The sequence below is a fragment of the Homo sapiens genome, chromosome 15 (genome assembly GCF_000001405.40).
Source record: "Homo sapiens chromosome 15, GRCh38.p14 Primary Assembly".
Classification (NCBI taxonomy): domain Eukaryota; kingdom Metazoa; phylum Chordata; class Mammalia; order Primates; family Hominidae; genus Homo; species Homo sapiens.
In genome coordinates, this window is record NC_000015.10 from 39,837,199 (window position 1) to 39,862,819 (window position 25,621).

A 25,621-nucleotide genomic window follows, 5' to 3' on the forward strand; every position below is an offset into this window, starting at 1 on the left:
TAGTCCTCTAATAAAAATCCTCCAATGCCTGTTCTCTACTCACAGGATAAAATCTCAATTCCTTTGCACAGTACTATAAGTGCCTGACCAGCAGTCCTAAGATTCTCTCTGTCCACTGCCTACCATGATTGCAGGTTGGGTTCTAGCTTCCTGGATCACCTCTCACTCTGTGAGTGTGCCATTTACTCCAACTCCCTTATGTCTTTACCTGATAGCTTTCTTTTGTGTAGGAATTCCCTTGCCTCTTGTACATACGTGGTAAATCCTATTTAAGCTTTAAGGATCCATTTCCAATGTCACCTTCTCCATGAAGACCTCTTTGATTCCACAGATCCCATGCAAATTTAATCTTCTGTTTCTCCATTATACTTTGTTTACATTAATTAACACAGCACTTAGCACAGTAGTGGTGATACTAGTAGTGGTAACAGTAGTAGTAGTAGCAGCTAACATTTATTGCGCAATAATTACAAGCCAGGCATCTTACATACATTAACTCATTTAATCTCAACTACAACCTTATGAGGTAAGGCCCTCATAAGATCATAAGACTAACTCCTCCAAAAGCTCATTAACTCTTCAAGGATAAGAACAGTATTTATCTTTGTCTTTTCATCACCAGAGTACAACATAGTGCTTGGCTCATGGTAGGTGATTAATATGCGCTTGTTCTGGCCAATCATGGTGGCTCATGTCTGTAATCCCAGCACTTGGGTGGCTGAGGGAGGAGGATAGTTTGAGGCCAGTAGTTCAAGACCAGCCTGGCAACATACCAACACCCCAACTCCATTAATTAAAAAAAAAAAAAAAAAAAAGTCAAAAGGTACCAGCTGCTGTAATAATTTTAAAAAGGTGCTTGCTCATTGAGTGACTAATGACTTATAACAAAATTAGGTTGTCATAGATGCATTAAGTTTCTGCATTCTGAATATTTTTATATATGGACAAATATGCTGGGTTTTTCAATAAAGCAACAATTTAAATGTAGGATACTCTAAAGAATTAAATCTACAAAGCTAAAAAATGAATCTCTAAGTAATCTGACCTTTTCCACTTCATCTTCTGATGCTCCCTCAAAATAAATGCCCCATTTGCTTAAATCAAATGTAGATAAAACTTAAAACATTCCATTGTATTTTGCTGCTCAGCCTTCATCTTACTATTGTAGACTAAAAGAAGAAAAAATAAGATTTTCAAAGTTTTAAATTCTAAGATGACTTACTGATTCTTAATTAGTCTAAAGAAAGAAAACAGTTTTTCTTCAGCTAAAGAAGCAATTATTGTTAATAAAACGTGAAGTTTTACATTAATAGCCCATAAGGGTTCAATATATTCAAATCAATAAACATAACCCAGCATATAAACAGAACCAAAGACAAAAACCACATGATTATCTCAATAGATGCAGAAAAGGCCTTTGACAAAATTCAACAGCCCTTCATGCTAAAAACTCTGAATAAACTAGGTATTGATGGAACATATCTCAAAATAATAAGAGCTATTTATGACAAACCCACAGCCAGTATCAAACTGAATGGGCAAAAACTGGAAGCATTCCCTTCAAAAACTGGCACAAAACGGGGATGCCCTCTCTCACCACTCCTATTCAACATAGTGTTGGAAGTTCTGGCCAGGGCAATCAGGCAGGAGAAAGAAATAAAGGGTATTCTATCAGGAAAAGAGGAAGTCAAATTGTCCCTGTTTGCAGATGACATGATTGTATATTTAGAAAACCCCAACATCTCAGCCCAAAATCTCCTTAAGCTGATAAGCAACTTCAGCAAAGTCTCAGGATACAAAATCAACATGCAAAAATCACAAGCATTGTGAAGAATCAATATTGTGAAAACGGCCATACTGCCCAAGGTAATTTATAGATTCAGTGCCATCCTCATCAAGCTACCAATGACTTTCTTCACAGAATTGGAAAAAACTACTTTAAAGTTCATATGGAACCAAAAAAGAGCCCATATTGCCAAGACAATCCTAAGCCAAAAGAACAAAGCTGGAGGCATCACGCTACCTGACTTCAAACTATACTACTAGGTTACAGTAACCAAAACAGCTTGGTACTGGTACCAAAACAGAGATATAGAACAGAACAGAGACCTCAGAAATAATACCACACATCTACAACCATCTGATCTTCGACAAACCTGTCAAAAACAAGAAATGGGGAAAGGATTCCCTATTTAATAAATGGTGCTGTGAAAATTGGCTAGCCATATGTAGAAAGCTGAAACTGAATCCCTTCCTCACACCTTATACAAAAATTAATTCAAGATGGATTAAAGGCTTAAATGTTAGACCCAAAACCATAAAAACCCTAGAAGAAAACCTAGGCAATACCATTCAGGACATAGGCATGGGCAAGGACTTCATGACTAAAACACCAAAAGCAATGGCAACAAAAGCCAAAATTGACAAATGGGATCTAATTAAACTAAAGAGCTTCTGCACAGCAAAAGAAACCACCATCAGAGCGAACAGGCAACCTACAGAATGGGAGAAAATTTTTATAATCTACCCATCTGACAAAGGGCTAATATCCAGAATCTACAAAGAACTCAAACAAATTTACAAGAAAAAATCAAACAACCCCATCAAAAAGTGGGTGAAGGATATGAACAGACACTTTTCAAAAGAAGACATTTATGTGGCCAACAAACATATGAAAAAAAGCTCACCATCACTGGTCGTCATTAGAGAAATGCAAATCAAAACCACAATGAGATACTATCTCACTCCAGTTAGAATGGCGATCATTAAAAAGTCAGGAAACAACAGATGCTGGAGAGGATGTGGAGAAATAGGAATGCTTTCACACTACTGGTGGGAGAGTAAATTAGTTCAACCATCGTGGAAGACAGTGTGGCAATTCCTCAAGGATCTGGAACTAGAAATACCATTTGAACCAGTAATCCCATGACTGGGTATATACCCAAAGGATTATAAATCATGCTGCTGTAAAGACACATGCACACGTATGTTTATTGTGGCACTATTCACAATGCCAAAGACCTGGAACCAACCCAAATGTCCATCAATGATAGACTAGATTAAGAAAATGTGATACATATACACCATGGAATTCTATGCAGCCATAAAAAAGGATGAGTTCATGTCCTTTGTAGGGACATGGATGAAGCTGGAAACCATCATTCTGAGCAAACTATTGCAAGGACAGAAAACCAAACACCGCATGTTCTCACTCATAGGCGGGAATTGAACAATGAGAACACTTGGACACAGGGTGGGGAACATCACACACCAGAGCCTGTCATGGGGTGGGGGTAGCGGGGAGGGATAGCATTAGGAGATATACCTAATGTAAATGACGAGTTAATGGGTGCAGCACACCAATATGGCACATGTATACATATGTAACAAACCTGCACGTTGTGCACATGTACCCTAGAACTTGAAGTATAACAATAATAAAAAAGAAGGGTAGTAAGATAGACATATTTGACATTGTCAATGTAAGAACCAAGTCGATTGTAACCTTAAATACAGATCTAACCATTTCAGATTTTAAATAAGGAATCTGACTTAAAATATTACAGAAATAAAACCACAGAAAAAAATTTAAAAAAATAGCCCATGAGGAAGTTGGAAGGGCAATCCATTTTAATATTTACCAAGTATTTTACATGTATCCTATCATTTAATGTGTGGTAATACATTTTTGTTGATCTGAATTTGAGGCAGGTATTACTAGTTGCCCCCTGAGGAAACAGAAAAAGAAAGCCATATGATTTGCACATGATCACATAGTAATTAATGGAACCTGAACTTGACTCCAGATCCTCTGGCTTAAAATTACCTGTTGTTTCCCCAGCTCTCTGCTGCCCTGGGTCCTCATGCAGCTGTCCTTAAAACCTCATTTTTACCCAACTACCACTTAGCCCTGAAAGGAACTGTAGTTGATCATTTAACACTTATAACTAGATTGTGAATATGGCTGCAATTATTAAGGATGAATCCTGCTAGCTAGCTGTCCCTTGCCCATTAAGGCTTGACAATGGTCATAATAACGACCAATACATATTGATGATGTCTAGGTGTGAGGCTCTATGCTGAGCATTTCACATACACTTCTGTTATAAGTTGAATTGTGTCCCCACCCCACCCCACCCCAAAAAATACATTGAAGTCCTCAGTATCTCAGAATGTGGCTTGGAAATACGGTCTTTGTAGAGCAAATCAAGTAATAATGAGAGAATTATGGTGGGCCCTAATCCAATATGACTGGTGTCCTTATAAAAAAGGGGAGATTTGTCCGCAGAGACAGACACACACAGGGAAGATGACAGGAAGACCCACAGGAAGAAGGTCTTGTAAAGACAGGACTAGAGTGATGCATCTATAAGCTGAGGAATGCCAGAGATTGCCAGCAAACCACCAGAAGTGAGGAATGGGCAAGGAAGGGTTCCCCCACAGGTTTCAGGGACAGCGTGGTCCTGCCAACATTGATTTCAGACTTCTCGCCTACAGAACTGTGAGATAATAAATTTCTGTTGTGTTAAGCCACCCAGTTTATGGTACTTTGATACAGCAGCCCAGGAAACTAATATAACTTCTGATCATTTTGACAAAATGATAGGTTTACGAGGCTACATGACCAAATGTGGCTTACTTATAAACTTTGGCAGACATATTACAATGGCTTTTTTGTCTCCAACATATAGTCAGTAGTTATAATCCTACACACATGGTAGCTTTGCAACTTAATACATTAAGATTAAAGCTCTCAGTAGGGATCCCAGTTGGAGACTACACTGAACCCACTGAGGGGGCCCCTTTTGAGCTCATCTCACTAATGATGAGTGCTATAGTCTGAACGTCTGTGTCCCCCTCTCCCAAAAATTCATATGTTGAAAGCTAATCCCCAGTTTATTAGTCCATTCTCACATTGCTATCAAGAACTACCTGAGACTGGGTAATTTATAAAGAAAAGAGGTTTAATTGGCACACAGTTCCACAGGCTGTATAGGAGGCATGGCTGGAGAGGCCTCAGGAAACTTACAAGCACGACAGAAGGCAAAGGGGAAGCCAGCATATTTTACAGGGTAGGAGCAAGAGGAAGAGAGAGTGAAGTGGGGAGTGCTGCACACTCTTTCAGACAACCAGATCTTGGGAGAACTCTGTCACAAGACAGCATTAGGCGGATGGTGCTAAACCATTAGAAACCACCCCATGATCCAATCACCTCCCAACAGGCCCCTCCTCCAACACTGGGATTATAATTCCACATGAGATTTGGGTGGGGACACAGAGCCAAAACACAGAACCCAGTGTGAAGGTATTTGGAGGTGGGGCCTTTGAGAGGTGATTAGGTCATTTGGGCAGAGTCCTCATGAATGGGATTAGTACTCTTATAAAAAGAAGCCCAAAAGGGGTCCCTTCCCCTTTCCACCATAAAGAGACACAGTGAAAAGACATTCTGGCCATCTATGAAGCAGGACATGGGCTCTCATCAGACACTGAATCTGCCTCTAAGATCAGACACTGATCTTAGACTTCCGTGCCTCTAGAACTATGAGAAATAAATTTCTGTTGTTTACAAGCCACCTAGTTTATGGTATTTTGTTATAGCAGCCTGAATGGACTAATACAGTGAGGTAGGCCCACCAAAAGTCTGTACAAGGGGCTGAGGGAGAACTTGCTCTGGAGGAAGGAAAGCCAGGCATGACAGGACTTGCCTAGGACAGACTTCAGATTCTGAATACAGAAAGCCATCACCCTGTGGGTTTCATCCCCAGCTCAGCAACTTCTTGGAATCATACTCAAAGAGAAGAGGCTGTCACCAACAACACTAAAAGCAGCACTGGATTCACACTATTAAAAAAAAAAAAGTGGTGGGGGGAGCTTTCTTTTGTGCTTTGTGCATGAGTACTGGGCAGGAGGGAAGAGTCATGGTGGCCAGTAGACATGGTATGATAGCCTGCTGGTTGAAGCAGAAGAGGAAATAAGAGTGGCTGTCATGTGGGAATCTAGACTTTTGAGAGCATGTGTGTAATGTCCCATGCAAGTCCTAGAAATACTTGTAGTGGGGAGAAGAATGTGAAGAGGCTGATGTCCTCCAAGTAGGGCACAAAAGATAGTACAAAATGGCCTCAATCATATGTATTTCAAAGGTAACTTATAATCAAGAAAAAATCATTATTTTTACTATCCTGCAGACCTATTATCCAGACACTCACACCCCATACACCAAGACAATGAAAATTGCTATCGACTGCAGCATACCCTTCAAAAGAGGCCCAGATCAGTCCCAGTTACAATAACTCAAACAGCTACTCCCAGAATTGCATTTTGCAAGTGAGCCCACATCTGGAGGTTGAACATGCCAGTTGATTGACAGATCAATAGTACTCTCTGCCAGTGTAAGAGATTACACAGGCATAGCTATGCCTGAGGTAGGAAAGAAAGCCACATTCCCAGCTAAGATGTCATCTGGGTTTATAATACAATAAATCTCTCTCTAGAATAGATATTATTTTAGAATACTAGACATTTGATGGCAGCAGGTGCACTTAACAGAGAAAAATGCTGACTTCAACAAAATATAGCTTAAAGATCTCGTGGGAATTTATCCCACTTTCAGAATGCAGGCAACAAGTGCTATCTTCTTTTCTATGTGATTTTGACTCACTTCCCTCATTTAATTTCCTCTTCAGTCCTAGGGGAGGCCTATAAAGCTTAGAGAAAAATCTGTTAAACTGCTACGACAATATTATTTGTCACTTTCCACCCAAGTTCTCTCTCTACTACTAAAGGTAGAAAGAACAGGCTTTATAAAGTGTCAAGAGGATTGCTACTAGCGTTCTAAATCTCACCCAAACCTTAATGCCACACAATTAGTAGAATAATATAAAATAAAACTCTTCAAAGTCCCAAATAGTTTTCTCCATGCCCCTTTCAACAAAAACTAAAATCAGATACAAAATTCCCCTGATATCCTCCGGACATCACCACAAGAACAGTGGTCCTCAAATGTCCGGATTCATGAATATTACATGGGGTGCTTGTAAAAATATAGTTTCCTGGTCCCCACCTCAAACATGCTGATTCATAATCTAAGGGGGTTTGGCCTAGGAATCTGTATTTAATATGCTCCCAGACGGTCTTGAAAAGGTAGTTTCCAACCACACATCTGGAAATCCTGCTGTAAAATATGTATTTATCCTCAATCTACATTATATAGCTATCAGTTTAGCTATTCATCTACCCCAGAATCCAAACCACGGTTAGACAGTGTTCCATGGTTCTCACCACAGTCACAGGATCAGCCAAGAGGACCCCTGAAAAGAGATCAAGAAATCTTCTTTCAATCTGTTCCGAGGACCTAATGGGAGCCCCCAACCCCGTCTGCCCCCACCGCCTACTGAAAAAAAAAAATAGATCAGGTGAGAATTTGGGGCAAGAACCTATAGGCTACATAGATCCAGGCCCTATAAGTGCCCATACTTTTCCTGGGTTTGCTACCTTACAGAGCACACGTTCTAACAAGGCCTCAACAGTACAAGGCTTTGAAGAATCAAACCTGGGCAGCCCAACACTGATCGTGAACCACTTAAATGTCCCCTCAACCTCTTCCCTCCTGACATCCAACCAGAAAAGGTACTGAGGTGACTCTCAGACTCTCCTAGGGTGACCAACCATCCTGGTTTGTCCAGGACTGGGAAAGTTAGTAGGATGTAGGACTTTCAAGGATGAAACTAAGAAAATCCAGGGCAAACCAAGATAAAAGGGTCCCCTACTCCCAGTTCTAACCGTATCTCAAGAGCCAGCTCCTCAGAGCATAGGTGTTACCGGCACCAGGGAGGCAACACCATGGAGACTTCAGACAGAGGTGTCAGGGCTTGGCCAGGCAAAAGGCTCTCAGAGGAGGAAGAAGAATTCTGGCCAGGACAGCACTCACTGAGAGGCTATTCCTACCTAGGCCAGGCCCAGGTTCAGGCCCATAAGGTTGGGTTCGAAAACAGAAAACTCAGAGCCCTTGAGGGGTACTTTTAAACCAAGAGCTCACAGAGATCAATTCACATGAAGTCCTTGCTCTCATATAAATCTCAGTCTCCAGAATCTAAAGCAGAAACACAATTATTGCAAATAAGCAACTAAGTGTTCCATTTAAGGAGTTTAAACTCACTTTATCTACTAGATAAGGTCTAGAAAATAGAGGAAAACTAAGGAGTTAACAAATGAAGAAATGAATTTCAGGTAGTGATAAGAAGAGATAAAGAAAAGGAGCGGCAGTACTACTAGATAACCTTAAGTGGCTCTTAAGTACCATGGCTGTCCACTGGAACCCCCTTTAAAGCTTTAAAAACACTGATGCCTGGGCCACACTCAGACGCTTGATTTAATTTAGTCTGGGGTAAAACTGGGCTTTGGGATCTGTTAACGCTCCCCTGGTGATTCCAACATATAAGCCAAGGGCGAAAACCCTGCTGCAGGTGGGAAGGGCAGGTCTGTCTGAGGAGATATTTGAATTGAGACCTTAGTAAGCGGGAGAGAGCTGGGCAAACAGTATATCAGAAAGTGCAAGCCCTGAAGCATAAACGAGCTTGGTGTTCTAGAAACAGAAACTACGTAAGCTCTAGAGAGCAGGAACTTTGTGCCTACATCCTGAGGCCTAGACCAGTAACTGAAACATAATAGAGTCTTAATGTATTTTTGTTGAGAATGTTAATTTTAAAAAGGCCAATGTACCTGAAGCAAAGTGAGAAAACAGGAGAAAAGCATGAGGCAAAGGACAGAAAAGAAGTTATGACAAGGTTGTGCCCTGTGGGCCACAGATGAGCCTTCACTCTCAGTATAATCAAAGCCACTGAAGGGTTTCAAACAGGAGAGCAACATTTTACTTTTTGAAAATATCGTTCTGGACTTCTACATCTGTGAAAATGGAGTAGATATACTTTTCCCTATTTGTCCCACTAAGGTACCATTTAAAACTCTGGGCATTATATACAACAAACATGAGAAGACTCTGAAAGTAGAGATGAAACCACCTTTGCAAAGATTATGACAGCAAGAGAAGTCTAGCATGACTGACTCGATCTTGCTTCTAGCCTCACAGGCTAGCTATCCTCACTCATTCCTGGGCATAGGCCAAGCTAACCATGAGAGGAATTTAGTTTATAGTTTAACTTTGAAGAAAGGATGGTAACAGGCATCAGTAGAGGCCTAGCAGAGAGCTAGAACTGCCACCGCTACCCAGCTCCTCTTCCATATCAACAGAGGCCAGATGGGGAACCTGAACATCTATCCTCAATTGACACTAACAAAGCATCTTCTATCATAGTGGTATCACAAAACACCAACTAAAACTCAATACAATAAAAACTAATACAAAGAAAAAAACTTTTGAAAATAGTAAGCACGACAGAAATGACATCTTACCAATTAGGGATAAGAAACTAGAATGAAAGTAGATTTCTCACTAGAAATCATACAGGTGAGGAAGAAGTGACACAACATTTTTCACGTGCTGAAAGAAAGCTTTCAAGCCAGAATTGAATATCCAGTGAAAATATTCTTCAGGAATGAAGGAGAAGCAGACCTACTCTAAAAGAAAGGATTTTTCAAAAAGTCTCTAAGAAAGAAAATTATAAAAGGAGGAATACTGGGATATCAGAAAGAAAAAGAAAGATAATAGAAATGGTAAAATTATCAGAAAATATAATTTTTTTCCTCAAGTTTTCTAAATTATGTTTAATAAATGAAGCAAAAAATTGTAACACTGTCTAATGTGGTTCTAAATGCAGATAGAGGAAATAGTTACAACAACTAAAAAACTGGAAAGAGTAAAGGGACATAAAGGGAGAAAAAGTTTCTATTCCAAGAACTGGTAAAGCAATGGCACCAGCAGACTGTGATAAGTTATATGTGTTTAATAGATTGCCTAGAGCAACCACTAAGAAAGCAATATAGGAGGTTCATTAAAAAACAACAATGGAATTCTTAGGAAAATGTTCAAGTAACCCACAGGAAATCAGGAAAAATAAATAAAAAGCTGAGAGAATAAACAGAAAACAAAAAATAAAATAGCAGACTTAAGCCCTAACATATCAATAATCACATTAAATGCAAATGGTCCAAATACAGCAATTAAAAGAAAGAGATTAACAGAGGGGATCAAGAAATGTGATCCAACTACACGCTATCTCCAAGAGACTCACTTCAAATATAATGTTATATACAGGTTGAAAGTAAAAGGATGGAAAAAGCTGTATCATGCAAACATAAAGAACTCATGAGGCCGGGCACAATGGCTCACACCTATAATCCCAGCACTTTGGGAGGCCAAGGAGGGCCTCACTTAAGGTCAGGAGTTCAAGGCCAGCCTGGCTAACATGGTGAAACCCCATCTCTACAAAAATACAAAAATTAGCCAGGCATGGTAGCATGTGCCTGTAATCCCAGCTACTTGGGAGGCTGAGGCATGAGAATTCTTTGAACCTGGGATGTGGAGGTTGCAGTGAACCGAGATCACACCACTGCACTCCAGCCTGGGTGACAAAGCGAGACTCTGTCTCAAAAAAAAAAAAAAAAAAAAAAGAAGTCATGGTTATCTTAATATCAGATAAAATAGATGTATTAGTCCATTCTCACACTGCTATAAAGAACTACCCAAGACTGGATAACTTATAAAGAAAGAGGTTCAATTGGTTCACAGTTCTGCAGGCTGTACAGGCTTCTGCTTCTGGGAAGGTCTCAGGAAACTTACAATCATGGCCGAAGGTGATGGGGAGGCAGGCACATCTTTACACAGTCAGTGGGAGACAGAGTAAAGGGGGAGGTGCTACACACTTTCAAACAACCAGATCTCATGAGAACTCTATCATAAGACAGCACATGGGAGATGGTGCTAAACCATTACAAACCACCTTCATGATTCAATCACCTCCCACCAGGCCCCTCTTCCAACACTGGGGATTACAATTCGACATGAGATTTGGGTAAGGACACAGAGTCAAACCATATCAATAGACTTCAGAACAAAGAAAATTACCAGATACACAGAGAGGCATATATAGTGATAAAAGGGTCAATCAAATAAGAAGATATAGTAATCCTAAATGTATATGCATCAAACAACAAAATGTGTGATGCGAAAACTTAGAATTGAAAGCAGAATTAGATAAATCCACAGTTATAGTTGGAGATGTCAACCACCCCTCTTTCAGCAACTGATAAAACTAGACAGAAAATCTACAAGGAAAGAGAAGAATTCCATAACACCATCAACCAACAATATCTAATTGACATTTATAGAACATACCGCCCAGCAACAGGAGAATATACATTATTTTCAAATGCCCACAAGATATATATCAAGATAAAGTATATCTATGGCCATAAAATAGCCCTAATACATTTTTAAAAATTGAAATCATACAAAGTGTGTTCTCCAACCACAATGGAATCAAACTAGAAATTAGTAAAAGAAAGACAACAGAAAAATCTTCAAATATTTGAAAGCTAAACAACATATTTCTATATTATTCATGCGCTGAAAAGGTGTTTCAACATAAGTCAAAGAATATGTTGAACTTAACAAAAATGAAAATATGTACAACCTATCAAAATTTGTGGGACATAGCTAAAGCAGTGCTGAGAGAGAAATTTACACTACTAAAAGCTTATAATTAGGAATGAGAAAATGTCTCAGATAAGCTCCCAACTCAAAAACCTAAAAAAAGCAAAGTAAAAAAAAAAAAAACCTAAAAAAAAGAAAAAAAAGCAGAAGAGAGGAAATAATAAAGAGTAGAAATCAAGGAAATTTAAATCAGAAAAACAATAGATAAAAATCAGTGAAATAAAGAACTGGTCCTTTGAAAAGATCAATGAAATTGATAGGTCCCCTAGCAAGACTGACAAAGACAAAGAGAGAGAAGACACAGGCTACTAGTATCAGAAACAAAACGGGATAGCTATATGGATCCTGCAGACATCAAGAGCATAATAACGAAATAACCATACACACATAAATTTGACTATTCCTTAAAAACATAAGCTACCACAGCTCACTCAATATGAAACAGATCATTTGAACAATCCTATCACTATTAAGACAATTTAATATGTTAAACACTTCCCCCAAAAAGAAATCTCCAGGTCCAGATAGTGTTACTGGAGAATTCTACTAAACGTTTCAAGAAGAATTAACACCAATTCCACATACTCTCTTCCAAAAAACAGAAGAGAAAGGAACACATCATTTTATTAAGCTAGTATAACACTGATACCAAAATCAAAGAAAGTACAAAAGAGTACAGACCAATATCCCTCATGAATAGTTACACAAAAAGTCTTAACGAAAGATTAGCTAATAGAATTCAACAATACTTTAAAATAATTATACACCATTCCCAAGCCTGCTTTCAACATTTGAAAATCAATCAATATAATCTACTCTATTAACACACTAAAGAAGAAAATCACAATTAGGTCAATCAATGAAGAAGAAGCACATGACAAATTTTAACACCTATTCATACAAAAACTCAGAAAAATGGGAAGAGAGGGAAACTTCCTAAACGTGATAAACATTTACAGAACACCAATAGCTAACATTATACGGTCAGGCATCACTTAATGACAGAGATTCATTCTGAGAAAGGTGTCAATAGGTAATTTCATCACTGTGTAACATTACAGAGTATACTTGCACAAACCTAGATGGCACAGTCTACTACACAACTCGGCTATATGATATAGCCTATTGCCCCTAGGCTACAAACCTGTACAGGATGTCACTGTACTGAATACTGAAAGGCAATTGTAAATATTTGCATGTCTAAACATGGAAAAGGTATGGTAAAAATATGGTATAAAAGATTTTTAAAATGGTACACTTGTATAGGGCACTTACCCTGAATGGAGTCTGCAGGACTAGAAGTTTCTCTGGGTGAGTCAGTAGGTAAGCAGTGAGTGAATGTGAAGGCCTAAGACATGATGCTTATTGTAGACTTTACAAACATTATATACTTGGGCTACACTAAATTTATTTTAAAAACAAAGTGAGTGATTGCACTATGGCATTACAATGACTACAATGTCACTAGGGATTAAAAATTTTTCAGCTATCATCTAAAGGGGCCACCATCATATATGTGGTCCATCGCTGACTGAGCTTTGCTAAGCACATGACTATACTTGATGGTGAAAGACTGAATGCTTTCTCCCCAGGACTGGGAACAATTCAAGGATATCCATTACCAATACCCTTTTTCAAAATAATGCTAGAAGTTCCACATACATATGGTATGATTCTAACCATATAACATTCTTGCAAAGACAAAAATCATAGAAATGGAGAACAGATTGGTGGTTGCTAGGGGTTAAGGAGAGGGTTAAAGAGAGGGTAGTGTGGAAGGGAAGTAGGTGTGGTTATAAAAGGGCAACAGAAGGCTCCTTGTGGTGATGGAAACATCTGTGTCTTGACCTATCAATGTCAATATCCTGGCTGTGATATTGTACTACAATAATGCAAAATGTTACCATCGGGGGACATTGGGTTAAGAGTACATGGGATCTGTACTATTTCTTACATCTGCATGTCAATCTATAGTTAGCTCAAAATAAAATGTTTAATTTAAAAATAAAAAAATCATCCTGTCAGCTGTGGGGAGAATGAATGATTAAAAAAACAAAAAAACAAAAAACAATAGTGGCAAAAGAAAGACCTATTAGGAAAACACGAAGTTATCCAGGCAAGAGATGACCATGCTAGAACTAACATGCTGGAAGTTGAAAAAAGAAGAAGTAGATACGGGACATATAGTGAGGCAGAATCAACAATGTTTGTTGATAAATTAGCTGTGAAGAACGAAAGACAAAGTTGAAAATGACCTCTACGTTTCTTACTTGAACAACTGTCAGACAGATAATGCCATCATTTACTGAGATAAGGACAATTTTGTTCTACAGAAACATTTGAGATTTAAGATTTAAAACATTTGGGATTGTTCAATTAGTTTATCCTCTTCTTTAAAAACATTCAAAATTTGGATGTAACTCATTGCCCCTACACATGAAGAGCTTTCAAGGTTTCACACAGGCTACAGTACTTTGAATAAAATCTATGAAGAAAACATAAGCCTAAAAAGTCCAAAAACAAGAAAGTACTGCTGAGTCACAAACTCTCAATTCCATCATTTTTTCAAGAATTTTAATACCAGAGCAAGATGGGGTTGCTTACCCTGAAGCTGTCAACAAACTGTCTACTTGAAATATTTTTTTCCACTCAAACTGATGTTCTCATGTAGGTGTTTTCTTCCTGAGGTCAGACAAGGGTGCTTCACCTAGTTAGACATCACTGAATGACCTTAGAAAACTTATTTGCCCTGAGACACATGATGAGGGTCTGGCGCTTAAATGAACACATCCAGAACTCAGTCTTTTCTGTTAAGGCAATGCTTGGTTCTCATCCATTAACATCAACTCTTGTTTTCCTCACAAATGCGAGTCAGTGGGCTGCAGCCCCTGGTTGTCATAGCGACTGCAATTTCACGCACCAAAATGGTTTTCTCAGAACACAGACTTCGAGTAGCACTTTTTTTCCCAACATATATTTTAGCACATGAAGAATTTGTTGCCATTTCCAGTCATCTCTTTTGTCTGAGATATGTTTTGTTTATATAACGTCATAGTGACTAAAGACCAAGACCAAAAAAAGATTTCCAGCTTTGTCCCTTAATTAGACCTTTGATTGTAAGTGCTTCCTTGGCTGCTATCAGCTCCTGAACAGTCTGCTTTTGGTATTGTGCCCCAGGAGTATCATAAAGACATGTAATCAGATTCAGCCCACAAGGCAACAATAACCTACTGAAATATCCTGAAGGAAAGGTCCTACATATCCCTTTCTTTCACGGTCTTATTCTTCTGGTCTAGTGTTTCCTGCTGGCCCAGAAAAGAAAAAAAGAATGATGAATTTTCTCAATTGTAATATTATGAGAAACAGGGAAAAAATCATGAAGGCAGTGATTTGTTGTTTGAGGGGTTTCCAAATGGCCTTAGAGTGCACCTACACTACCACTCCCTCTATCTCACCCATGACAAACACTGAAAATCTACAACAGCCCTCTTTCCCTCTGAGCCCAGTATAAGACCTCAGAATCTTTCTCAACACAACATTCCAGACATGGGCAATTTGCCATCTGGGTACTAGAATCTTAGCTAGTGTTTCAAAATGTCAAGTTCAGCACTCTGTTTAACTGTAGGAGTCAAAAACTAATCCTTACACAAGAGCTAAGATTTTGCAAAACAATCTGAAAACGAGTCTGAATAACTCACTTGCAAAGTGAACTAGTCCACACCCATCAACTCAGGCAGTTAAAATATGATGCAAATGCAAAGTCATAGAGGAATCCCAGATGGGTCTCTTAGCCTTTCTCTCTTGCCCAAACACTGCTGTATTCTTAGCCTAACCAGCTATGCCACAAGTATATACTACATCAGACATTTTTAAGTGTCAGATTTTAAAAGCATGTATGAATATCAGCTCAAAACTATCATTACTAACAGAAAAGCAACTTAGGGCACATATTTAAATATAAACCCATTAGGAACACAGTTTGTGTGTCTTACTTACCATTATATCCACAATGTCTAGAGTAATATTTGGCACATAATAGGCACTCAAAAAGTTCTTGTTACCTTCACACCCATTAGGATAACTACTATTAAAAAATATAAAAACAGAAAATAACAAGGTGAGGATGTGAAGAAATTGGAACTCTTGTACACTCTTGATAACAATGTAAAATAGTATCGCTGCTATGGAAAACAGTATGGAGGTTCCTCAAAAAATTAAAAAATAGAACCATTATATAATCCAGCAATCTAATTTTTGGGTACATATACAAAAGAACTGAAATCTGAATCTTGAAGAGATATTTGCACACTCATGGTCATTGCAGCATTGTTCATAATAGCCAAGAGGTGGAAGCAACCTAAACATCCATCAACAGATGAATGGATAAAGAAAACATGATATATACATACAGTGGAAAGTTATTCAACCTTAAGAAAAGAAATTCTGACATATATTAAAACATAGATGAACCTTGAGGACATTATACCAAGTGAAATCAGCCAGTCACAAAAAGACAAATATGATTCCACTTATATGAGATATCTAAAGTAGTCAAATTCATAGAGACAGAAAGTAGATTGGTGGTTTCCAGGAGCTGGGGAAGGAGGAAAAGGGGAGTTGCTGTTCAATGGATGTAGAGTTGCAGTTTCGCAAGACGAAAAGTTCTGGAGATTAGCTGCACAACAATGCGCATATAGTTAACACTACTGAGCTATACACTTGAAATGGTTAAGATGGTAACTTTTATGTTATATTTTAACATAATTTTTTAAAATACCTATTAAATCAATGAACAGAAAGATTTCTTTCTCCTCTAGAATAGTGGCTCTCAATCAGAAGTGATTTTGTCCCCCTGGGAACATTTGGCAATGTAAGGAGACATTTTTGGTTGTCATAGCTGGGAGCAGGAGTGCTACTTGCACCTAGAAGACAGAGGCCAGGGATGCTATTATAAACATCCTCACAAAGCACAAGACATCCCCCAACAACAAAAAATTATCTGGTCCCAGAATGTCAATAGTGTCAGGTTGTTAAATCCTGCTCAAGAGTTTTCTGTTCAATAAGGGTATATAAAATGCATAGCTCAGAGCCTTAAAAATGTTAGCCTTACAATTATCATCATCATAATTATTATTATTATTATTTAACTCTAGGTGAAGACTGAAGTTTTTATTTCCTTAACTTGTATTTGACACAGTAAACTGAGGTCAAGTTGCCTACAAAATGAGTCTACTATACATCCTTCCATATTTGCCACCAGGAAACTATTGAGGGAAAGGGAGGGAGAGTCTGTAATACATTCAAAAGTCTGATGCTTCTGACTAACCCAATCTCAGAGCACTGCCCAGAGCAAGACTTTCCTGAGTTGCTCAGGAAAGCAGACAATAAGGATCCCCAGACAATAAGGTTCTCCCAAGGCAATCAGGACCTGTGATGTAAACTCTAGCCCAAAAGAAAATCTCAGATGTCTTCTCATTCCAGTGTCTCTTTCCAAAGATTAGGCAATTTGTTTGAGGTTTGAATCAGCTCCTTTAGATGATTATATAACCAAAATGGTGTCCAGGGCCTCTCTAATACTATATCATAAGGAGTGGAAATTTCCTTGAACCCCTTACTTTTATGGTGTAGAAAACTCCAAAGTATTACCTAAGACTTCTATGAATCATGTCCTATGAATTTAGAATCTCAGGGTCTGTAGCCATTTGTGCTCACTCTATCTTGTTCCCTGACATAGTCTTAGTTTCTCTTTACTGATCTCCAATAAAACAAAATAAAATAATAACAAAAATCTAGCCCATACCAAGAGTTCTGTGATTTGGGGTTACTTCTCTGAAATCTTGGTAGGGAGCATAGAAATCAGTCACATAGAGGAAGACTCAACAGTGTCTCCTGTTGTGGTCATTCTCCCCTCTCCTCCCTTGGTTCCCCTCCCACTCAGAAGTAAATCAAGCCAGGCACAGTGGCTCATACCTGTAATCCAAACACCTTGGGAGCCTGCGGTGGGAGGATCACTTGAGGCCAATAGTTCAAGACCAGCCTGGGAAACATAGTAAGACATCCCCCCACCACACCCCTAGTCTCTAAAAAAATAATAATTAGCTGGGTGTGGTGGTGCACACCGGTGATCCCAGCTACTTGGGAGGCTGAGGTGAGAGAATCACCTGAGCCAAGGAGTTCAAGGCTGCAGTCAGCTATGATCATGCCCCTGCACTCCAGCCTGGGTAACAGAGTGAGACCCTGTCTCAAAAAAAAAAAAAAAAGTAATTCATTCTCTCCTTGGAAACCTTGAAACTTGTCCCAAAGGGTCTTATTATGCCAACTCATCAAAGAACTCTCTTAACAAAGATGAGTCTTTCCCAGAAGGAATTTTCATAGTACCTGCTAAAAGAATACTATTTTCTCCATGTATTACAATGACAAAGTACATCGCCAATGCTATTTTACTCCAAAACTCCAAAACTATGCATGAAGAACCTTCCAATAAAGAAGCCACATTCCCCATTTTACTCTTTCCCCAATTTCGTCTTGTGTGTCCCAACTATAGTGAAGGCATGAGGAATTCAAATAAGCCCTGGTCCTATTTCTCGTCAATTCACAGCCCACCTAAAATGCTACACTATGTTTAGGAATAATTGCAGAGCTTAGAGATCATGTATTTCCCAAGCATCCCCTGCCACTAGTGTACAGAGGCGTGATTTCCTCTTCCTGTGGGAAGAGTGGAGCCTCTGGTGAGCACAGCAGCAGGAGTTTTGGTTCTCGCAAGCAGCTGTGGCAGAATTTCTGGCATCCAAGCCCCAGCATTATAAAGGCCACTAGAATAGTGTGGCTGGGGATTTTCTGGGCTGCACTTTTGGCTGTATTGTTTCTGTTTAGTAACTCAGTTGAGTTATGTGGCCATCTCTAAGATTCTGTGAGTTGCCAAATATCCTCTAATAAAATACCCATCAGCTGAGCAAAGTGGATTCTGCTGTTTGCAACCAAAAACTCTGATCAAATAAAGACAGTTAAGTTTGGGGAGGAAGTACCTGGATTATCCAGGAAATTAACAGCAATAACACAGTAACACTTACTAAACTTACTAAGACTGCAGTGCTATGTTCTAACCACCTTACATATGTAAATTCATTTAACCTCAAAACAACCATAAGAGTAGATATCATTATTCATTGCATTTTAAGATGCCGAAACAAATTCAGAAAAATATATCACTTGACCAATATCACCTAGCTAGTAAGTGAAGGAGACAAGATTCAAACCCAGGCAATTGATTCCAGAACCATGCTCAAAACGACAGCAGTATGCCACCTCTCTGGTCAACATCTGGACATGGAGGCATGCCCAATCTAAAGGGTCTGGAATTAAAGTTCCTCAAAACATACTGTGCAGGCCAAACAAAGCACATTCTGACAATCCTATCCAAAATAGCCACACACCTTTACCATACGCTGCTTTGTTTTCTTCACAACACTCACTACTTTCCTCAATTATGTCATTTATTTGCTTACTGTCTATCCCTCATACAAATATAATCTTTAGACAGTATATTAGTTATCTACTGCTGCATAACAAATTACATCAAAACTTGGCAGCTTCAAACAACAACTATGTATGATGGGTAAGTCAGGAATACAAGAGTAGTTGGGCTGGTGGTCTGGCTCAGCGTCTCTCAGGAGACTATGGTCAAGCTATGGGGCATGGCTGCAGTCATCTGAAGGTTAACGGGCTGGAGGATGCTCTGTTCACCCACATGGCTGTTGGCAAGATGCCTCAGTTCCTGCCAGGTGAACCTTTTCACAGGGCTGTCTGAACACATGGCAGCTGACTTCTCCCAGAGACACTGATCCAAGAAAAGGCAAGATAATAATGCCGCAATGTCTTTTAAGACCTAGTCTCCAAGTCACATACTGCCTTATTCTATTGATTAGAAGTGGGTCACTAAGTCTAATCACACTCAATGGGATGAATACATTGGAGATGGGCGGATTGGAAGCCATCTTGGAGACTGGCTACCAAACATGGACTATGACTTGTTCATTGTTAGATCTGCAATATCTAGTACTCAGTAGGTGTTCCATATGTATTTATTGAGTTTTTGGAAGATTCCAGTACACAGTAGGCATTCCATATGTATTTATTGGTTGAGTTTGGGGAAGATTCCGGTGCACAGTAGGCATTCCATATGTCTTTACTGGTTGAGTTTGGGGAAGATTCCAGTGCACAGTAGGCATTCCATATATATTTATTGGTTGAGTTTGGGGAAAGCTGTCTAACTGTATATAGCTCACATAGATGTGAAATAAGCAGCATATGCAAGTAAGCAAAGCCATGGGTGTGTATGAGATAATCCAGAAAAAGGTAGGATAAAAAGGAGCAGTGGACAAAATCTTGATGAATGTCAAAGTCCATGAATGTTCAGAGAGGGAATTTAGGTTGGCTTCCTGTTCTGGCAGCAGGGCAAACTCATTAACCCAACCCTTACTTCCCCCTGCCCCAAATACAAACATACACAAATGACACAATAAAAAATAATAATACTGAATCACTGAGCCTGAAAGAAAACAAAAGTGAAAGCCTTAAAAAGGAAATACGGCTGGGCACAGTGGCTCATGCCTGCAATCCCAGCACTTTGGGAGGTTGAGGACTGCTTGAGCCCAGAAGTTAGAGACCAGCCTGGGCAATACAGCAAAACCCCATCTCTATAAAAAATACATAAATTAGTGGGGTGTGGTGGTGCATGTCTGTAGTCCCAGCTACTCGGAAAGATGAGGTGGGAGGATCACTTGAGCCAGGGAGGTCCAGGCTGCAGTGAGCCGTGATTGCACCACTGCACACAAGCCTGGGTGACAAGGCAAGACATTGTCTCAAAAAAGAAAAAAAAAGGGCAGGGCGCGGTGGCTTGTGCCTGTAATCCCAGCACTTTGGAAGGCCAAGGCGGGCGGATCACAAGGTCAGGAGATCAAGACCATCCTGCCTAACATGGTGAAACCCCGTCTCTACTAAAAATACAAAAAAAAATTAGCCGGGCATGGTGGCGGGCACCTGTAGTCCCAGCTACTCAGGAGGCTGAGGCAGGAGAATGGCGTGAACCTGGGAGGTGGAGCTTGCAGTGAGCCGAGATGGCGCCACTGCACTCCAGCCTGGGCAAGAGTGTGAGACTCCTTCTCCAAAAAAAAAAAAAAAGAAAGAAAGAAAAAAGAAAAAAAAGGAAACTCTAAGCCAGTACTGAAATCTCCAGCTCTACACAGGCCATAAGACCTGGGGGCCAGGGTTTTCATGCTTATGTGGAGGAAGAGGAAATCTGGGAGCTGGAAATGAGACACCTGGATGAAGCTATGACCCAAGCAAGGTTGACCAGTCTGAAAAGGGAACTAGAAAAACGGTGCTTACTGGCAGAAAAAAAGCAAGCAAGAAGACAGAAGGTCTGGGTAGGAAGAGAAATTCTGTTAGAAATAAAATCCAATATTGCACCAAGCATAATATGGGAATCCCAAATCAAGAAATATAAAATTTAGTCCTGAATTTGTGGAATCCCTGAGGCTTTGGCAGAAATGAATACAAAACTGTTCTATGAAAGATTGCAACTCAGAATGCACTGAATTCCTACAGAAAAAAAAAATACCATTGAAGGGCTGGGCAGAGCAGCTCATGCCTGTAATTTCAGCACTTTGGGAGGCCAAGGAGGGAGAATCACTTGAGGCCAGGAATTTGAGACCAGCCTGGGCAACATGATGAGACTTTGTTTTTACAAATCAAAAAATCAGCTGGGTGTGGTGGTGCACACATGTAGTCCCAGCTACTTGGGAAGCTGAAGAGGGAGGATCACTGGGGCCCAGGAAGTCAAGGCTGCAGTGAGCAGTGATCACACCATTGTACTCCAGCTCAGGTGACAGAGTGAGAAAAAAAGGATAATAACTCACAATTAAAAACAAAATACAAATTCTTTTTTTTTCTTTTTTTTGAGATGGAGTGTCACCCTGTTGCCCAGGCTGGAGTGCAGTGGTATGATCTTGGCTCACTGCAGCCTCCACCTCTCAGGTTCAAGAGACTCTCCTGCCTCAGACTCCTGAGTAGCTGGGATTACAGGTACATGCCACCATGACCAGCTAATTTTTATATTTTTAGTAGAGACAGGGTTTCACCATGTTGGCCAGGCTGATCTTGAATTCCTGACCTCAGGTGGTCCACCCACCTGGGCCTCCCAAAACACTGGGATTACAGGTGTTAGCCACCACACCTGGCCACAAAATACAAATTTTGTGAGAAAACAAATCATCATGAGAATCAGCAGACACAAGAAATGTGAAAACTGGCACCCAAAAACTAGGATAGAAAAATCTTTAAAAGATTATAAAATGAGTATATTTAAAATGATCAAAGATGTTTAAGAAAGAATAGAATCGTAATATAGGAATGAACACTGAAAAAAGGTATATCTGAGGAAAAAGTAACATGTATGTATATATGTTATATGTATATCCAGAATATATAAAAAATTCCTAACAACACAACAACAAAAATAACCTGATTAAAAAAAGGAAAAGGACTTGTGTAGACATTTCTCCAAAGAGGATATACAAATGGCTAACAAGCACATAAAAAGATGTCCAACACCACTAATCATCAGAGAATTGCAAATTAAAACCATAATGAGCTATCACCTCATGTCCATTAGGATGGCCACTGTGAAAAAAAAAAAAACAAAACAAAAATAAAGTATTGGCAAGGATGCAGAGAAATTGGAACCTTTGTGCACTGTTGGTGGGAATGTAAAATGGTGCAAGCTGCTATGGAAAACAGTATGAAGATTTCTCAAAAAATTAAAAGTAGAGCTACCATATGATCTAGCAATCCCACAACATGGATCAACCTTGAAGATATTATACCAAGTAAAATCGGCCAGTCACACAAAGGCAAATACTGTATGATCCCACTTATATGAGGTACCTAAAGTAGTCAAATTCGTAGAGACAGAAAGTAGATGGGTGGTTAACGGCGGCTGGGGTGAGGGAGAAAAGGGGAGTTGTTTAATGGGTGTAGAGTTTCAGTTTTGCAAGATGAAGAGTTATGGAGACTGGCTGTACAACAATGTGCATATAATTAACACTACTGAACTACATACTTAAAAATGGTTAAGATGGTAAATATGTGGCATGTGTTTTTTTTGCCACAATAAAAAAGGCTTAAATCAAAAAAAAAAAAGCCATTGTTACTTCTTCAAATTACAGAAATTATTCAAACTCAACATATAGGCCACTTGTATTAATTCCTTGGCCCTCAGATTTCAAGGTGATAATCTACTGAAAACAATACTAGAGTAATAAAAAAAGTCTATCCATATGAATGAATTAACAATGGTGTGAATACATGCTTTTCATTAGTGGATGAGAGGATGGGCAATGCAAAGAATGTAGACAGAGGATTTTTAAATAAATGTTTCAAGTCCTGGTAAAGGCCGGGGTTCAGGCTGATGAGCTTCAGGCTATCCTTAGCCAAGAAACAGCTTCTCTAGCATCATCGATGCTGGGAAAAAGCACATTCCTCCCCTGCCCAGGGCACTGGAAGTGCATACCCTTTGTGCATTCTCCATGTCTCCTGCAAAGGAGAACAGAAGCAAGGCTGACTGCTTTCAGTTTCTAGGGGAGTTCAATGGCCTTCTTGCATCATACACAGTGTCAATGGCAAATATTCCCAATCATGTGTTTTTTCCTCCAGCTTCTACTCCCTCTGTTAGCTGTAATTTTAGAGTGTCTGTTGAGAAAATGCCTTAGTTTATAATCATTTTTAAGTCATCGACTATACATCCCATGATTGGCTAAATCAGGGAAATAAAAGAGACCTGAAGGCTCATAACACAGGCTTACCCTAGTATGGATAGGAGAAGCTAACTTAGACCTGCTTGCCGATGAGGATTTTAGGCTGACGCTACTCCGAGTCATGAAGAGCCTGATTGACTTTGCTCTTCTGTGAGTACTTACATTCTGGTTTTTACAACTTTCCCGATACTGATACCTACCTGAAAATGAAACGTAAGTTCCATTCTCAATTAATATGGTGCTGGGCGCCTTGGAATGCCCACTCACTGGCTCCATTTGGGAAGGTGGTACCAGGTGGAAAGCCTAAAAGAATTAGCATCAATTACTCTGAAGAAGAGAAACACTACTAATGGAGGTTCTGAGATAGTACTGACTGCAAGCCCTCTGTTCATACCAACTATAAATCCCTGAAATATCCTAAGAGTCCAATGTCTCACCAAGCTGATTGACTAAACAATCTAGAGTTAACAAACTCTAGATGGAAAGCCTCCAAACACCCTACTTATCTAAGAGAAAAAAGCCACACAATATGACAGCTAGCAAAGTTTATCAACCATGACATAACGTAAACATGGCAGATCTTTTTAGGAACTACTTTACTTATAATATGCAGAGTGTCTGAAATAATTTAATTATAAAACTATAGTTTAGCCCGGGCATGGTGGCTCACACCTGTAATCCCAGCACTTTGGGAGGCCGAGGCTGGCAGATCACAAAGTCAAGAGATCGAGACCACCCTGATCAACATGGTGAAACCCTGTCTCCACTAAAAATACAAAAATTAGCTGGGCATAGCGGTATGCACCTGTAGTCCCAGCTACCCGGAGGCTGAAGCAGGAGAATCACTTGAACCCAGGAGGCAGAGGTTGCAGTGCGCCAAGATCATGCCACTGCACTCCAGCCTGGTGACAGAGCGAGACTCCATCTCAAAAAAAAAAAAATCCTATATTTTAGTGTTGATGTGTCTAAGAAATTGTATCTTTAACCTGGCTTTGCAAGATAAATCTTTCTTTTTTGTTCAGGATTTCTGACAATCTCCATTTAATATTCTGTACTCTTAAAGAGTGACATAAACAGTGTGCCCAGCAGGAAATCTGACATCAGTTCACATCAGAGAGACATCAGCTGGCTGCCAGCTGGAGAGTTGCTAGTATTTCAATTCAGAAATTTCTCATCAAAATGTTAAAGGTCTGTTTTACAAAGAAAGCAGTAGCTGCACAGCAAATCTTAAGACGACTGTTGCAGGTCTTTAGAATCAATGTTGAATTATCAGCCCAAATGAATCCTGTGCCTTTTAACAAGATGACATACCCAAGTACCACGGCTGAGTCCCTCTCTGTTCTAGGTTATTGTGTAGGACCCTTTTCTCCTCCGGAGGCCTTTAGAAACTGCCACTCTAGTGGTTGCCTGACTAGAACTGCTGACCCTCTTGGCTTAGTCCCCATTTCTGGCCCTACCTTTGCCCTTGGAGTGAGAATTCACTTCTCCTGGTTCCACTCTCAGTGTTTGGTTGTTTAAACTTAAATTTTTACTGGTACAATCTAAAAACAGAATTATCAAAATTTTATGTTTTATTCTGAGCAGTAAGGTATAGGGAATAGAAAAAGAAAAGAAAAATGTGTATTACGAGTAATTTTGCTAAAAGTGTAAAAAGCTTGAGCTTACCTGTAAGAATATAAGGTAAGAACTTTTAAACATGATATCCTACCTGATGAAATAAGTGATGATAGTCTCCCCATCAGGAAAAGCAGGCTTTTTGATGCATTTGTTGGCATGTGAGCTGGTTCATGTAAATAAACACTACAGAGGTGAAAATCATACAGATTCTAAGAATCCTTTCCAAAAGTCAGTGGACCACTACAGTTAGTTTCAGGTCACACACTTGCAACAATTCTATAAATACAGTCATGTGCCAAATAAACATGTTTTGGTCAATGACAGACTGAATATACAATGGTGGTCCCATAAGGTTATAATAGAGCTAAAAAAATGTCTATCACCTAGTGGTCTAGTGACATCACAGCCATCTTAAAGTCATAGCACAATGCATTATTCATGTGTTTGTGGTGATGCTGGTGTGAACAAACCTGCACTGCCATTCATATAGAAGTATAACAGGTACAATTATGCACAGTACATAATACTTGATAATGAAAATAAACTACTATGGTACTTTTTGCTTATGTATTTACCACATTAT

General features: G+C 39.4%; 1 protein-coding gene across 5 annotated transcripts in view; it reads right to left on the reverse strand.

The window, feature by feature from the left end:
• GPR176 (G protein-coupled receptor 176) overlaps positions 1-25,621 on the reverse strand; it is a 121,259-nt gene that overhangs the window by 38,191 nt on the left and 57,447 nt on the right. The window contains exons 1-3 of one of the 5 annotated variants that reach the window (XM_011521167.4): positions 25,130-25,621; positions 24,879-24,962; positions 23,622-23,724 (exon numbers count right to left, since the gene is read on the reverse strand). The exons of 3 other annotated variants lie outside the window; for them this stretch is intronic. In XM_011521167.4, coding sequence (XP_011519469.1) covers positions 23,622-23,697 — 76 coding nt within the window. In that variant the 5' untranslated portion in view covers positions 23,698-23,724; positions 24,879-24,962; positions 25,130-25,621. The remainder of the gene's footprint in view (positions 1-23,621; positions 23,725-24,878; positions 24,963-25,129) is intronic. One more of the 5 variants, XM_017021873.3, reaches the window with a different exon arrangement.